General features: G+C 36.8%; 1 protein-coding gene, 1 long non-coding RNA gene and 2 pseudogenes across 3 annotated transcripts in view; 2 read left to right on the top strand and 2 right to left on the bottom strand.

The window, feature by feature from the left end:
• Positions 1–9,217, top strand: part of OFD1P6Y (OFD1 pseudogene 6 Y-linked) — a 64,714-nt pseudogene extending 55,497 nt beyond the window's left edge.
• TTTY9A (testis expressed transcript, Y-linked 9A) lies at positions 659–9,974 on the top strand. The gene is made up of 5 exons (NR_001530.1): positions 659–800; positions 2,474–2,574; positions 2,936–3,049; positions 3,632–3,768; positions 8,832–9,974. It is a non-coding gene; the product is annotated as a testis expressed transcript, Y-linked 9A (long non-coding RNA).
• HSFY2 (heat shock transcription factor Y-linked 2) overlaps positions 2,217–14,418 on the bottom strand; it is a 59,325-nt gene continuing 47,123 nt past the window's right edge. The window contains exons 5-6 of one of the 2 annotated variants that reach the window (NR_003509.1): positions 8,422–8,507; positions 2,217–2,644 (exon numbers count right to left, since the gene is read on the bottom strand). Coding sequence is in view for 1 of the 2 variants with exons in the window: in NM_001001877.2 (NP_001001877.1) it covers positions 2,546–2,644 (99 nt within the window). In the remaining variant the exon portion in view is untranslated. The remainder of the gene's footprint in view (positions 2,645–8,421; positions 8,508–14,418) is intronic. The other variant, NM_001001877.2, reaches the window with a different exon arrangement.
• Positions 12,420–12,955, bottom strand: GPM6BP2 (glycoprotein M6B pseudogene 2; annotated as a pseudogene).

A 14,418-nucleotide genomic window follows, 5' to 3' on the forward strand; every position in this document is an offset into this window, starting at 1 on the left:
ACATTATCCCCAGGTTTAAACTGCCTCTAACTTTGAAGTCAAACAAGAGTTTAGCAATTATAGTTGAAATAATTTAAAATCTAGCAAAGTTGCATAAAATAAAATGAAAGTTACACACAGCCTACCAACAACAAAGTTAAAAAAAAAGAAAACCAAATGCATAAACAAATCACTGAAGCACTTACCAAAAGAAATTATCACAAAAATCAACTATAATAAAATCAAATCCTGCCCATGGTGTTCATCCGAGTCAGGTGCACCCCCACTAAACAAACTAGGTATTCACCCTATAAAATTTTTTTCAATCAGCCACACCAAATCTTAGGTCAAATTAAAAGTAATCTCTGCAAACTAAGGAAATTAATCTTCAAAAAGCAAATGCAGGTTTTAAAAATAGCCATGTGAAGTATTCAGCGTCAGGTACATTAAGAAATGCGTATTAGCCCGACAGGCCCAGCATGCTTCTTTAAACCTAACTACTCTCTTTGGGTTAAAAAATGAAACCCAACTTCTCTAGAACCCATAAGGGATGGGTCCCATTTTGTAATCTTATCCACTCCCACTGCTGTTAAAATTGCAGGAATCATGCCTTAATCGATCCATCATGGTTTGCTGAAACAGGCAGCTAATCATGCAACAAGACAGAGTTGTCACTGAGAACAACAGCCCTGCTCTGGTCCCTCCAAAAGCCGACGAATCCACACAAGACTAAAGATGAAGAAGAGGACAACAAGCCCAGCTCTAATCACACTCCAGAAGATAACTAGTCTACGCACAGCCAAAACTTAAAAACTCATCAGGCAAGTTAAATATAATTAAAAATCTTAAATCTAATTTTCACTGTAATACTAATTATTTTACTGTTATTCTGTCACTATACTCAACCTCCTCCCCTGAGTATGAATCTCTTCTAACCACACTAAACATAAATATGCTACTCATTGCTTTGCTGTTATTTCCCCACTTAACCTTGATAAAAAAAAAAAGTACCCATAAAAGGATTCCCAACTTCTACACATACTACATAGTCCAAAAACAATATGACCAGGCATACTGCTACTGAGTTAATAGCCCTAACTAAATATCAACCTTTGACCAAAGAAGAAAACATGCTTTCCCATAAAGAATAAAATAATACGAATGCCTTCTATTAAATTTCTCCTATAAATGGTATCAAAAAAAAATAGAAAAATGTGACAAGACACGTATGACAAAGAAAAAAAAAAACAAGTATTTTCTCCATCTATCTAGCTCACTTCAAGGACAGTCATAAAATAACAGTGTCTAAAAAGTTGAGGCCAAGTGAATGGGTTGCAAATACCCCTTACTGGAGCAAAGTTGAAATTAAAAGCAAATTACTTTACTGTCTCTCCTTCTTCTGAAGCATTAATTATGACTATGTTTACCAATGCTTGTATTTAGTAAAATTTGTAGGTTCATTTTTCTTTCAACACAGCTGCAAAACCCAGCTATGCAAGGCAAGATGTTATGCAAAGTCAAAAGTTATGCTATAAATTACATAACCTTTCATTGTATAATCAACTGCTTTACTTCTGCTTCTGAAAGTTTGCTTATAAAGAGCCCTGCTCAGTCTTTATTCAATACTCAGCCTTTTTGGTTATAAGTTCGCTGAGCTGGTGCACATAAATAAATCCCCCAGTTTCCCCACATCAACCTCTCTAGTCTGCTGTTTCCAGCAACACCAGTCATGTTTCCAAAGCTTTTTCTTTTTTTGAGACAGAGTCTTGCCCTGTCACCCTGGCTTGAGTGTAGTCTCACCTTACTGCAGCCTCTGCCTCTTGGGTTCAAGCAATTCTCCTGCCTCACCCTATGAGTAACTGGGACTACAGACACGCACCACCATGCTCTGCTAATTTTTGTATTTTTAGTAGAGATGGGTTTTCACCATATTGGCCGGGATGGTCTCAGGCTCCTCACCTTGTGATCTTCCAGCCTCAGCTTCCCAAAGTGCTAGGATTACAGACATGATCCACCACACATGGCCAGGTGTTTTTTTTTTTTTCTTTTTTTGTACTTGTGATAAGCCAAAAGGAAGGATAAAACATACACATATGCTGAGTAGGGCACTCTAATCACTCAAGTTTTTGCTATTGCCACCTCAGCTGGTTCATGCTGGTAATATGCAGAATTTTTTTAGAAATGTTTTATTACTATTGAAAAATGAAACTCCTCGGAATAACATTCAGAGTCCAACATTATTCTTCTTTAACAACTGTATTGCCTACTTCACAGCATAACATAGTTACAGGGAGTAACTGAGTAAACAGGTGTCAATTGCTGAGAAAAATACCTCATTGTGGTGGTGAGGTGGAGTTAATCTTTACAAAAAAAAAAGAGAAAAGGAATTTTTCAGAGCATTTTCTTGAGTAACAGAAGGACTTTTGCCACCTGACGCTCTTGGCTTTTCCATTACTAAAACATCACATTCTTGAATTTTATTCTTCCAATCTAGTCTTTCCCAGAGACAGATTGAACTTCAAGGTAAAAGTGAATTTTCAGATGCGGACAAGCTAACTTCTAAGGATTATGAGTAATTCGACTCATCTTTTAAATGTAAGTTGCAACATAAATACCTGTTTTCATAAGTTGAAGATCTGGAAAGTTTCATTTTGGTGAAGCGTATCTATTGATATAAAAACAAAACAGCAGTTAGAAATTGGATCATTTTTATTCTGTGACAAAACTACAAATACAGCTATATCAGCTCATTTTTCTATCATGAAGTTTTTGTGATTGTGTCTGTTTACTTTTAAAGTATTTCAGCATGACTAATTTTAAAGTTTGAGCTAAGCTCATAAATACATTAACTTATAAGATTTAAAATAAGTGATTTTAAAATATGTATTTCTTCCTTTATATGGAATACAAGGATGTTATTTTTCTTTAAATTAACTGATTCTGTTGATTTCCTCAGATCCAGAAAACCTCATTTTTAGTGAAAGAGTGGAGATAAAAGAATATTAAGAGTCCAGAAACTGGTGTTCTGGCTGTGGCCCTGCCTTAGACTGTCTCACTTTGTAGTCACTTTGTAAGTGTAAAATAAGCATGTAGAGCATATCATCTCTGTGGTTCTTTCCAGCTTGAGAAATCTTTATATTTGTATGTAACCCATTGGTTAGTCTTGTAAAAGTCATCTTCAAATCTGGAAGTATAATATTTTGAAAAGTCAATGAGAGGGCTCCGTAAATTTCGTGAATATCTGTTAAAGTATTTGGGTGAAATCACTGACATTTCAAAAGAATTCAGATTATTGTCAACAAGCCATATGGATTCTTCACTGTCACTGGGTTGACTTTCTTGTTGGGAAATCTAGTTTTGTAAACAAAGTTAATTCTTTTAAGTACAAGAAGACTCTGACAAGCTAATACATTGGCAAGTGGTTATGTTTGGAAATTCACAAAATCCGCTCAGGAAAAAGTCCACCTAGTTACTTTGGCTGCAGTTCCCATGCTCCAGCCAGTTGCCCCCACATGGCACTGTGGCCCTCCCACACTGTCATAAAGCCTGATATGCTATTCAAAACCCAACTGAAATGCCATATCCTCCTTATTTCTGAAGGAGGTTATTGCTAAGGAACGACTCATGGGAAAACCATTTGTGCCTCATGCAGATGCAGGAAACGTGCCCGGGCATCTTGAAATGGATGAGTTCTCTTCTGGAGATATGTCTCATGTGTACGCATATCTGGAGATATGCCTCTTGTGGGTGCTGCTGCAGCTGCTGTGCCCATCTCATATCAATACCCAAGTAAGTTATTTATTTTAACTAACAGTCTGCAGGGTCACATCTGTGTAATGTGTACTCTGTGAATTATTTCATGTATCACTGAAGGTCTTTTTGTAGGTGTAATCTAGTCAAAGTATTGGTGTGGGGTTTATAGTGTCGTTATGTCGTTAATGACGTTTCTGAAGTAACTTCTGTGTTATCTTGTAAAGACCATGCTGAGGAAAGCACACGTTGCAATGAAGGACTTCTCATTTTGGCTTCCGAGATGAGTTTCTTGAAAGTGTTTTCATTAACTATTCAGTGTCTAGCATACTAGGTAGACTTTTCCCCAAAACTCTTTGGCAAAAACTATTTCATGAAGGCCTTATCATCTTGAGAGATCATGATGAAACACTGAAATAATAGTTAACTCCCATTAGAGAACTTTATGTGATTGAAACATTTAAATATTATTTCTTTTTCCACCTATATGCTTCCTTCGTGTCTTAAGAAATTAGGGAAAATATTTGTATTTTAATTTTTGGAAAAGCTGTTACGCTGAGTTAACTTAGCACTGGAGAAAAACTGGCCATCAGACTTCTCTTGTCTGGCCCACTTTCTCAATCCAGTCTTCTTTCAGATTACCCACTTTCCTTGCTGGAGGTGCAGGGAGACTGGAAGAGAGCTGTGGGAGCTTTGCACTTTGCTCTAGGGCTAAGCAAACAGCCAGGCTCTTTTGTTTTGGGATCAAAGTGTTTAATTCTCAAACACGAAAGAAAATTTCTCAAGTTAAACCACACTTTCTTCCCCACAAATATTGAAAATGCATCATCTTCAAAACATTTCCAAAACCTCTTGTTAGCAGTTTCTTGCTTATAGTCATGGCACTCGAGAACATACAGAATTACTTAAAGAGGCAAGGGGTTTTGAGAAGTTGGACTTTGCTGATTCAAGAGTAAATCTGCTTTGGAGAGCATTCAGAGAGATTTTATCTAAAGCCTATCTCTCCTTGGCACTTTCCTTGGGGCTGAATGCACAACAGTGAACCCAACCAAGCCCTTGTCTTCCTGAATTTCTAGTCACTGAGGCAGATTGCCAGGAAGACATTACCCAGGAGTGCAGAAGAAATGGGCTGCAGCTGATCATTAGGGAAGGTGGCCCCAAGAAGGAGTTTCTGACAGGCAGCCGTTTGTCCCAGGCCTGAGCAAGGGAATGAAAATAATGTGATAGAATAAAGAAAATCAACTGAGTAGTGAGGTGTTCTGCCTCTGAGAGAGAATGTACATTATCATACTAGCTTTAAAATTATTAAGGAGCATAGTGAGTAGCATTGTTGTTATTGAGAAATTTTTATATTCATCATTTCACCTCTTCATCTGGGCACAGATGGAATGGAAAAGGCTGCAATTTGGTGTCTCTGATATGAGGTGCCCAATGAACATACTTTATTCCTTTGCCTTTGTGTCCACAGAGGTTTCTGTATTCCACCGTGCAGGTGCAAAACATACACCAGAGCAGAAAAGCAGTTTGTTCTTCCTCTTTGTTTCTAAATATAGAGGTGCTTAAACAACATCCCTATTTTGAGATTACTATTCCATAAAAGAAAACAATCTCATCTTAGAGTAACTTTCACTTCTTGTTCTAGCAAAGAGAAAGTTGCCTTTCTGCCTGCAGAAATTATCAAACGCCTCTTTTGTATTTTAATTTCATGAGAAGGATTGAGAAGAGATGGGGGGTGGAGAGAGAGGAAAAACTGTGTTGCTTCTCTCTTATTCATGAAATTAACTCAGTCACTGCGGATGAGTTTAAAACAAGGCAGAGCAAGAAGGTTCAGAGTCCTCTGGTAAACCTATGAATTTTTCTTCGTATTAGCATTTCTAGCTTTAAAAACATCGGTTATGTGTCAGAACTGTAAGAGAAAGGTCAGCATAATTGTTTCTGAGAATGATGTCTAATGAAACATTTGAGATGTAGGGATCTGTGCCAAGATGCAGAGAGAACAGACAATTTACTAAAATATGGGGCTTCACTGGAAAAAAATAGAAGTGGACAAAACAAGTATGTGTAGGTTTTCAACAAGCAGGTGCAAGATATGGTGTAAGTAAGCTGCTGGAGTGGTTTGGTTACTTGTCCCTTCAGAAATAAGGAGGATATGGCATTTCAGTTGGGTTTTGAATAGCATAACAGGCTTTATGACAGTGTGGGAGGGCCGCAGGCCGAGGAGACAGTAAAGGTGAATACCAAGCAAGGAAGACATAACCATGGCCAGGCCCCAGTGAGTGGGTTGAGACAGATGAAATATTTCTAGGTCAAAGCTGGTGGTGTTATAGGAAATCAATATGGAAAGATAAAGGCAGATTTTTGGAGCCCAGACTACCATGGTGTTGAACTCTAACAGAGCAGAGACACTGCACAGAAGATACACACCTTCCCCTCAGGAAATTCCTGGTGCAAATGACCACAAGTTACTAGAAGGCAGAGACTGACTTCACGGAGAGTCTTGACTGGGTGGGCTCTTTAAGTATTCCAGGGAGATGGTGAGAAAGGCCCCTGGTGCAGCTGAATGACAGGGAATGTGAACATGCCAGCACTGGTTGCTAGATGGATGGAGGATAGAAAGAGCATGAGAAAAACAAACAAACAAACAAACAAAAAAACTGGGATGATCCCACCCAGGACAAAGCTGGTGCTGTGAGGATTTCACATGTATATGGCAGGAAACTGTCAGAACTGTGGATGTGAGGGCAGGTAGAGAGACCAGCAGTAGAAGAAAAGATACGGAAAGGATCCATATCTGAGTAATCGTGAAAAACCCAGGAAGGACTGCCGTCCATTTGGTGGAAGTGGGGAATGAAAAGTGAGTTGGCTAGAATGTCTGGGGGAGTGCAGGTGTGTGATGTCTGTTCTGTTTTTTCAGGGGAGAACAGACTTGAGCACCTTTATGAGAGTAAGAGTTATAAAACTGCTCTGTACAGAAATAGGGATCAGTGGCTCAGTCAGGATCCTAAAGTTAGGAGAGGGATTATAATCAAAGGCAGAGGCAGAAATGTAGGCTTTGCTTTGAAAAAGGGGAAGGAGATCCGTGTAAAGGACAAGAACTTGCGACATGGAGGGAGGATATGTCACTTGGAGTCGGTCATGATGAGGGTGACTACAAGTCACCCTGGGATGAGTACAACTCATCTCAGCCAAGTGAAGTGGGATGCAGTGGCAAGGAGCGGGATTGGGGGCTTGAAGTCGATGAACATGGAACAGCGACTTGAAGTAGGTCACGTGTCAAACAAAAGCCAAGCAGAGTCTCCCCGGGTCTTGGCAAGGACTCCTGCAGACTGGTCTCACATTCATTTGAACAATCTGATACGGGCAGCTACTCTTTATTTTCTGAACTGTTAGGTATAGTTCAGAAACCAATTGAGGAACAAAAGCAAGAAGAAAAAATATGGCAACAGCAAGTGAAAGAACAAAGGCAGAGAAGAAAAACGGCAGAGTAACCTACATTTTAGCAAGGGAACAAAGGGAGCTAGAAAATCTAGATCACAAAAGGGTAATGAGTTGCTTCTCTGTACAAGTTCCAGCATTGTACAGCTTTCATAAGTACGTTGAGGTCAGGGAAGGGAGTCAATTAGTGTCCAAAGTCAGAAGAGTGGCATGTGCCCTGAAAGGCACCCCTGTTCTCTTCTTGTCTTACAAGCAGTAAGAAAGGCTGCACAGAATATGGAGCTTAGGAGTTTCATAGTATATGACTGTTTTTGAAGGTAATTTTTGTGCATTCTATTTGATCCTTAAATAAGTCTGTAAAAAATGTAGACTGTGCTTTGCTTCAGAATGTTGCTTTGAAAACAGACTTTAAAGAAGAGGCTGTCAATGTCAGCTAGCTGGCATCAGAAGACCCCAAGGGCGGACATGGCCGCCAGTCCAAGGCTGCTTCCAGGGGCATTTGGTGCCTCCCTTTTTCCGCAGGTTCTCTTCCCTTCTGGGTTCTCATTCTTGTCCTATCAGATGGATTACTCTGTCCACTTAACACAGTTGTTAAGTCTTGCTTGAATTACCATAACACATGGATGTTCCCTGGATTCCTGGTTAATTCAGATCTAAAGCATAGGACGCTTGAGGGAAATTCATCGCTCCCAGCATTTAGATGATCTATTTGTTTTCCAATGATGACAGCAATGACTTTCATTACAAAAACTTACTTCACTAGCATACATGCTGTGGGTGGGGGACACACAGGGCTTCTGTGGTTTATTTTAACTCCTTGGAACAGGAATCCACATCTGAGTAATCTTTCTCCTCCATTGAAGACAAAAAGGTGGAAAGCATAAAAAATCTAAATTTCACATGGAACCTTGAGTCATTTAAAGGTAATGCTGTTTTGAAAAAAATTATGGATTTTTTTTCTTAAGACAAAGTATTTAATAGGTTTTGGTTTATCAATGTTTGTAAAGGTAGGGTTTTTCATGTTTTTTAGGAACAAGAAAGAAAACAACTATTATCATATAACAAGTACATATGTACTGACATTAATATTTTATATAAGTCTGAAGTATCATGGTGTTAAATGCATACCTGATCGTTTATTTTGATGTGCTTGCTAAATTTTGTATTTATCAGTCACAACGTTTTTAGGCTTTTAAATGACATATATGTTTCAAAAATGGTTCTTAGAGAAACTTATATCATAAAATTAATACATACCAAATTTCAAAAATCTTCCCTTTCTGCCACATAATCAGAGCTCAAGAAAGGTGGTTCAGGAAGGCTCCCTATAGACATGCTTCAATCTACGGAAAAAGTTGAAATGGACTTGGTTTCCCAACACTGTGTTTTATATGTGAACAGCTAATCGCTCATTGTGTCAGCTAAAGAAATGGATAGAAATTTGAGGTTGCCCGTAAGAAGTTATTGAATCAGTCAGAATTACTGACTATAAAAAGAATGGATTGATATTTTTAACGTGTGAAATTGTTCCTAATGTAATTTATAAGCTAGGCCAGAAACTCCCCAGGATATAAGTTGAAACCATTATAAAGATACCAGAAAAGTCCGACACAAATTTTCAAAATTTTTACCCTTTAATTTTTCTCTTTCCTTTGTTAATTTAACAGGCTTTTCTCATGACGAACCAGATGACTCTTGGTAACCAGGTTTGCTCCCCAGCTTCTAATTTCAATATGATGAGAAGTTACATAACATTTACTCCTTTGTAAAGGTTTCTCTGTCATCAGACAAAACTCTGAATAGAAACCGGTGGGTAATCCAGTGTACTGGTTTTTCCTAATGTATTTGGTACTATAGTGTATGAACCGAGAATAATCGAGTCAAGTGAAACCCCCTTTTCCAGTCATAAAATGTCTCATTCATTATACTAAAAGGAGCTGTTCTTTTAAAAAAGCCTTCTTATTTTTCTACTAAATTTTTAGATAAGTATAACCTACTATATTCCTCAAATCTAGGCTTACATTTGAGAAGGGTAAGCTGTGTTTTTTCCTCCGAAGAGTTGGGCTGTGATCTTTACAACGAGACGTCGTTTTTCCCAGCATATTTCTGTTTTCTACCTAAACATTAAGATACACATTTTTCTAGGCATTAGAAATAGTACAATATTGCCTGTGGTCTTTCCATTTGACACCTGTGGCTGGAATATATGTGTCGCTCCAGAATTTATATGTTGGAATTTAAATGCCCCTGTGTGATAGAATTAAAAAGTGGGGACTTTGGGAGGAGGTTAAGAGTGCAATTAGAGACCTTATAAAAGAACTCAATGGAAGTAGCTAGGCTTTTTAGCCCTTCCACCATTAGAGGACACTGTATTTGTCCTCTCTGGAGAACACAGCAACAAGGTGCCATCTTGGAAGAAGAGACCCACCTTCACCAGACATTGGACCTATTAGTGCCTTGATCTTGGACTTCCCAGTGTCTAAAACTGTAAGAAATTTATTTCTTTCCAGTTTCATAAGTTACCCAGTCCAAGGTACTGTGTTATAGCATCAGGAACATACTGAGATGGCATATTTATTGTGGAAATTTTGGTCCTCATACTTAATGAATGGGCTTCAAGTATTTCGTTAGTTTTTAAAAACAGGGCTCCTCCTTTACAATTGATCTCATTTTTATTTTTTAAAAGTTAGCTTTTACAACATAGAACTGGAAAAAATCTCTACTCAGACCTCTAGAGTGTCCTAGATTTTGTGGCAGAATCACTATGGATAATTTATAGGTGCTTGTGATCTCATCTGTGTATTATTTACAGTTTCCTCTATCTATTCATGTGACAAATAATTGCACAAAACGCTACTTAAACAATAGGCAGTAAGCAGTGTGACAGATAGCACACTAATTGAACTGCTGACGGTTTTTCTGTCATGCCAGAATAAAGGGTGATGATCCAGAGTCAGCACCTCAATTAGGAGTGGCCATGTGTCAGTAGTGACAAATCCTAGGCCTCACTAAGGAAGGTCAGATGCAGAGAATCCAAATTCAGAATTATGTTGACAGATAAGGAGTTCAAACAGATTATATAATAAAATTCTGAGTAACATATTTAGCTCTGCAACTCTAGAGAGTGACAGAACTGGTTTTCTATATATTTCTGAGTAAATCTTTCCATTTTTATACCTTTGATTTGAAAAATAAACAACTACACACAGGCCTTGATCGTTTGTAATTTGCAAAAGTTCAAGCCTTGTTAATCTCGTAGGTAGGTGGCATTTATTTATTTCAAAACTAATCAGAAAAGCTATTACTTTCTACAGAAAACCACAGAAGTGCTAGGGGCACTTTTATGCCCAATACAGCCCAATAGGCTATAATATTTTCTTAAATTGCTGAAGAGATTTTTGCCAGAAATAAACAAAGTAGCGCTCACGGACTTGATTTCCACACCAATGTGCAATCTTTACTATGCACATTATTCCAAAGTGACACCACACTGAGGACAAAGAAAGATTGGATGTACATATGGTAAAAAGGCAAGTGAATGAAGCTATACTTTTATTTCATTTCTCTTACTACATCCGCTACTATTTTCACCAATATAGATCTTTAAGCATACACAAATATTGACTATTATCTACAATTATTTATTGTAACACTTGAGTAGAACTATAGGAAGCCTTTGACACTGATTGAAAGTATGGATTCACTGTTAGGTTACAAAAATTTATACATAGCAAAATTTAATTCTCTTTACATTAAAAATACTAGGCTACATAAACAAAACTTTCAAAAGTTTCTGATAATAGCTACCAGAATTAGAAATGTAAAATTAGGCTCAAGACACTAACTCTTCTGGAGTACTGGACTCTGAAGGCACCACCATTGCTGGAAAGAATAGTTAAATCTGTCATGCAAGAGGAAAATAAAACACGTAGCTATTTTTAGAATAGCCATTCTGTACAGAAGAGCGCTTCTCCCAGTTAAAAGAAAAAATCCCAAACAGGTGTTTTTATGGAGTAACAAAAAGAAAAAGAAAAAAAAAAAAAAGATCTGCTGATGTATGATACCTGATGTTCAAATTTAATAGCATCCAGATAAAAGTTTACTTTTGTTAATTTTGAATATATTTCTGCATTGTGGTGTTCTAAAACCCAGGAAACAGCCAAATCACAAGTTACCATTTAACATAAACATACATAGTGGATCCTATATTAAGCAACCCATTTGGAAAGCACTGATGTACCCAACAGTTACATATAGCATTTCATAAAGAACTGCACGGAGTTTACCATTGCTAACACCCAGTACCTATAGTCACCTAATGTCTGGAACACAGTAATGCAGATGGCAAGTTTCTTTTGAAAATGACTTAAGTAGTTTTCTTGTGGAACATCAAACTTTATTATTCCAAGAAATTAAGATATAGGTAAGAAAAAATGAAATGCCAACCCTAATTTAAATTATCTACATCTTCAAGTCTGTTAACAGTAGGAGGTTAGATGTCTGTGGCCAATTTTAAATTAGGTTTCAGATAATTGATATGAAACTGTTTACACAGACCACTGAAAAATGGTTTAAAAAGGTGGTCGTTTGAGTAAGGTAACAATTCTTAATTAAAAAAAAATATACAGAACAAAATTCTATTAAAGATATTTGCATCTCTGGTTATGATACAAATTCTGAAAAATGTATATACCAAATACTCCTTAAGGCAGAGCTGACATTTAACTCTTGAGGATAATAAAAACTGGATCAGTATTTTGTTGAAATAAAACTTATGATAAAAGTGCCTCTGGAATTCTTGTCAATGAATCCGAATCCAGATTCTTTAGTAGTAGGGTCAGCAAATGGAGCTAATTTTAGCATTATTGAAAAATATTTTCTTATTGGCTGAGGAAATTAATGGAACACGGACTTGGGAGAGAAAGCTAGTACAAAAAGTCAATCATGAGACGAATCACACTACCTTTGAGCCAAAGTTTAATAAATGTCAGCAGTCAGAATTGAAACTGCACAACAATTTCAGTTTATTTCCTATGTAGATAACACTTAACTGAGAATAAATGACGTACATGTAAATGTATGGTCTCATCTTTTGATGCCGGCATGTCACCAGTCCATATCAAAGAGTACCACATATTACACTGAGTGTTTTGGGAGAAATGTTCTAGCAGTAAATGTGAATGTGCCCCCAGTTTCCAAAGAGTGAAAGGTCATTTTGTCAAAGTGTTGCCTTTTAAAATGGCTAACATGAAACTTCCAATATTTGCTCTAAAGAAAAAGATTTCCTCACTGCAAGGTATTCCAGGCGCTGCATCCCAGCAGCTTGAGAGAGAAAGTGAGGTGTTTGAATGTCTACATTAGTTTGGTGGAATACTCATGTGTAATGCAGAGCAGCTGTCTCATAATTTGTCAGGGCTGTAAATGCATTGACTGAAAGCCCCCCGGCAAACATTCGTGTGTAAGAATTGAGTTACTTCTTTTACTGAAACTGGATATATTGTAGTTCCTGTTCTTTCTTTGCTTTGATATCCTGGTAAGCCTGCATTTTGCTGGCATCCAAGTAAGACCAGTTAGAAAACAGTATCATGAGAAAGTGGATCTGGAAGAGAAGGTTGAGCATGATGTCTAGTGAGCATGTGAGAAGGCAAAACAAAGTGCTAGTTAGATGAGACGTACTTGATGTTAAAGGGGAAGAGGGTTATTCTGTATTAATACTTGCTCTGCTAGCAGAGCTAGTAGAATCCTAAAAGTGTGCTCTACTACTTGGCTTCACATTAAAAAACTGAAGAAAAGTAAGTACACAAACATTGCAAAGTCTTTCTATTAACTCTTAAATGTCTGTGTACTCATCAGTCTCGGTGAGTAATATAATAAACACCTCTCACTACAACTGGGATTTGTCTACCTAAATAGACATTTATAAAATTTGCCTCCGGTGTATATTGAGTCAATGCTACTGAGGCATTTAAATTCCTGACTGTTATATTATCTTTAAAAGTTTGTTCATATGTTGATATTTCTTATTTTGTCTGTCACCTTACAAGTTATATATTATTATCCCTCTTTATTGCTTGCATTTTTCTTAAAAATCTCCTTTGCCTCATATAGTATCAGTGGCCTTACTTTTTTGACAAATACTTGTTAATTTTCTCTAAACCTTCATTTTCAATATTTCAGTGTCATTATTTCAAGGTAAAAGCAATTTTTTCTCTCAATCTAATATGAGTATTTTATATTTTAACACAGAAATTTAAACAGTTTATATCTAATATGGTTACTCTGTTATCTCCATAACCGATATCCGATTAGACAGTTGTTCTACCCTGGATTTTCTTTGTCTCTGCCTTTGCCTCCCATTTGCCTTAGTTTTTCTCTTCCTCTCCCCACCCACCACATGTTTTCCCTAACTGTGTTGATTTAATTGTCTTACTCATATTTATTTCTTTTCCTGCTTTTGACATTAATCACGATATTTCTACCCTTTCTGTAGTTAGTCAGTAGGACCCAGTTAGTTAACTTTTTTCTAACAAAGTAAAACATTTATTAGCCCCATAAAAAAAAATTCTTGTAATACCTCCTTCATTTAGAGGTTTACTTTCCTTCATTCTGTAAAAAGAAAGAAGGAAACTTTTATTCTTCTTTTCCTTGGTCTTTTGATAAGTCTTTGATATTTGCATAATCTTTGTGAGTTGAAACTTTGTTTTAAATACCAACAGTGTATGTGGAATCATATTCTGTGTAGAGATTATTTTTGTATTCTGCCTGCTGCCCTTTCTACACATTTTTGTCTTACGGTGTTTTTCATGAATGTAGATGAAAGCTTCCTACTCTGAGCTTGACTTTCATAACTTCTCTTTCATAGATGGTCACCAGATAAAATGAAGGCTTCTCGGTTACCTTTTCATTTTAAATAAACAACAAAAAGCATTTTAGTATAATTGTCAATATTCTTGTAACTTAGTAATATTCTCATTATTGCATGGACAGACTTATACTAAAAATAATTATTTGTTTTTTGTCAACAAATTGTCAAATTTCAAATTAAAATGTGACATTTAAATTCCTGTATTTTCTCCCTACATGTGGCAACCTTACTTTGAGATCTACTTAGGAAACTACTTATTCTTGCTATATTTATACTGAATCTACTGTATAAGAAACAAACAAAAAATTCTTTGATTTCCTTTAGCATGTGCTTCATTTTTCAATGATGAATAATTGTCTATTTAAAATATTTATTTGTGTCCTGCTACT

This window comes from Homo sapiens, chromosome Y, assembly GCF_000001405.40.
Source record: "Homo sapiens chromosome Y, GRCh38.p14 Primary Assembly".
Classification (NCBI taxonomy): domain Eukaryota; kingdom Metazoa; phylum Chordata; class Mammalia; order Primates; family Hominidae; genus Homo; species Homo sapiens.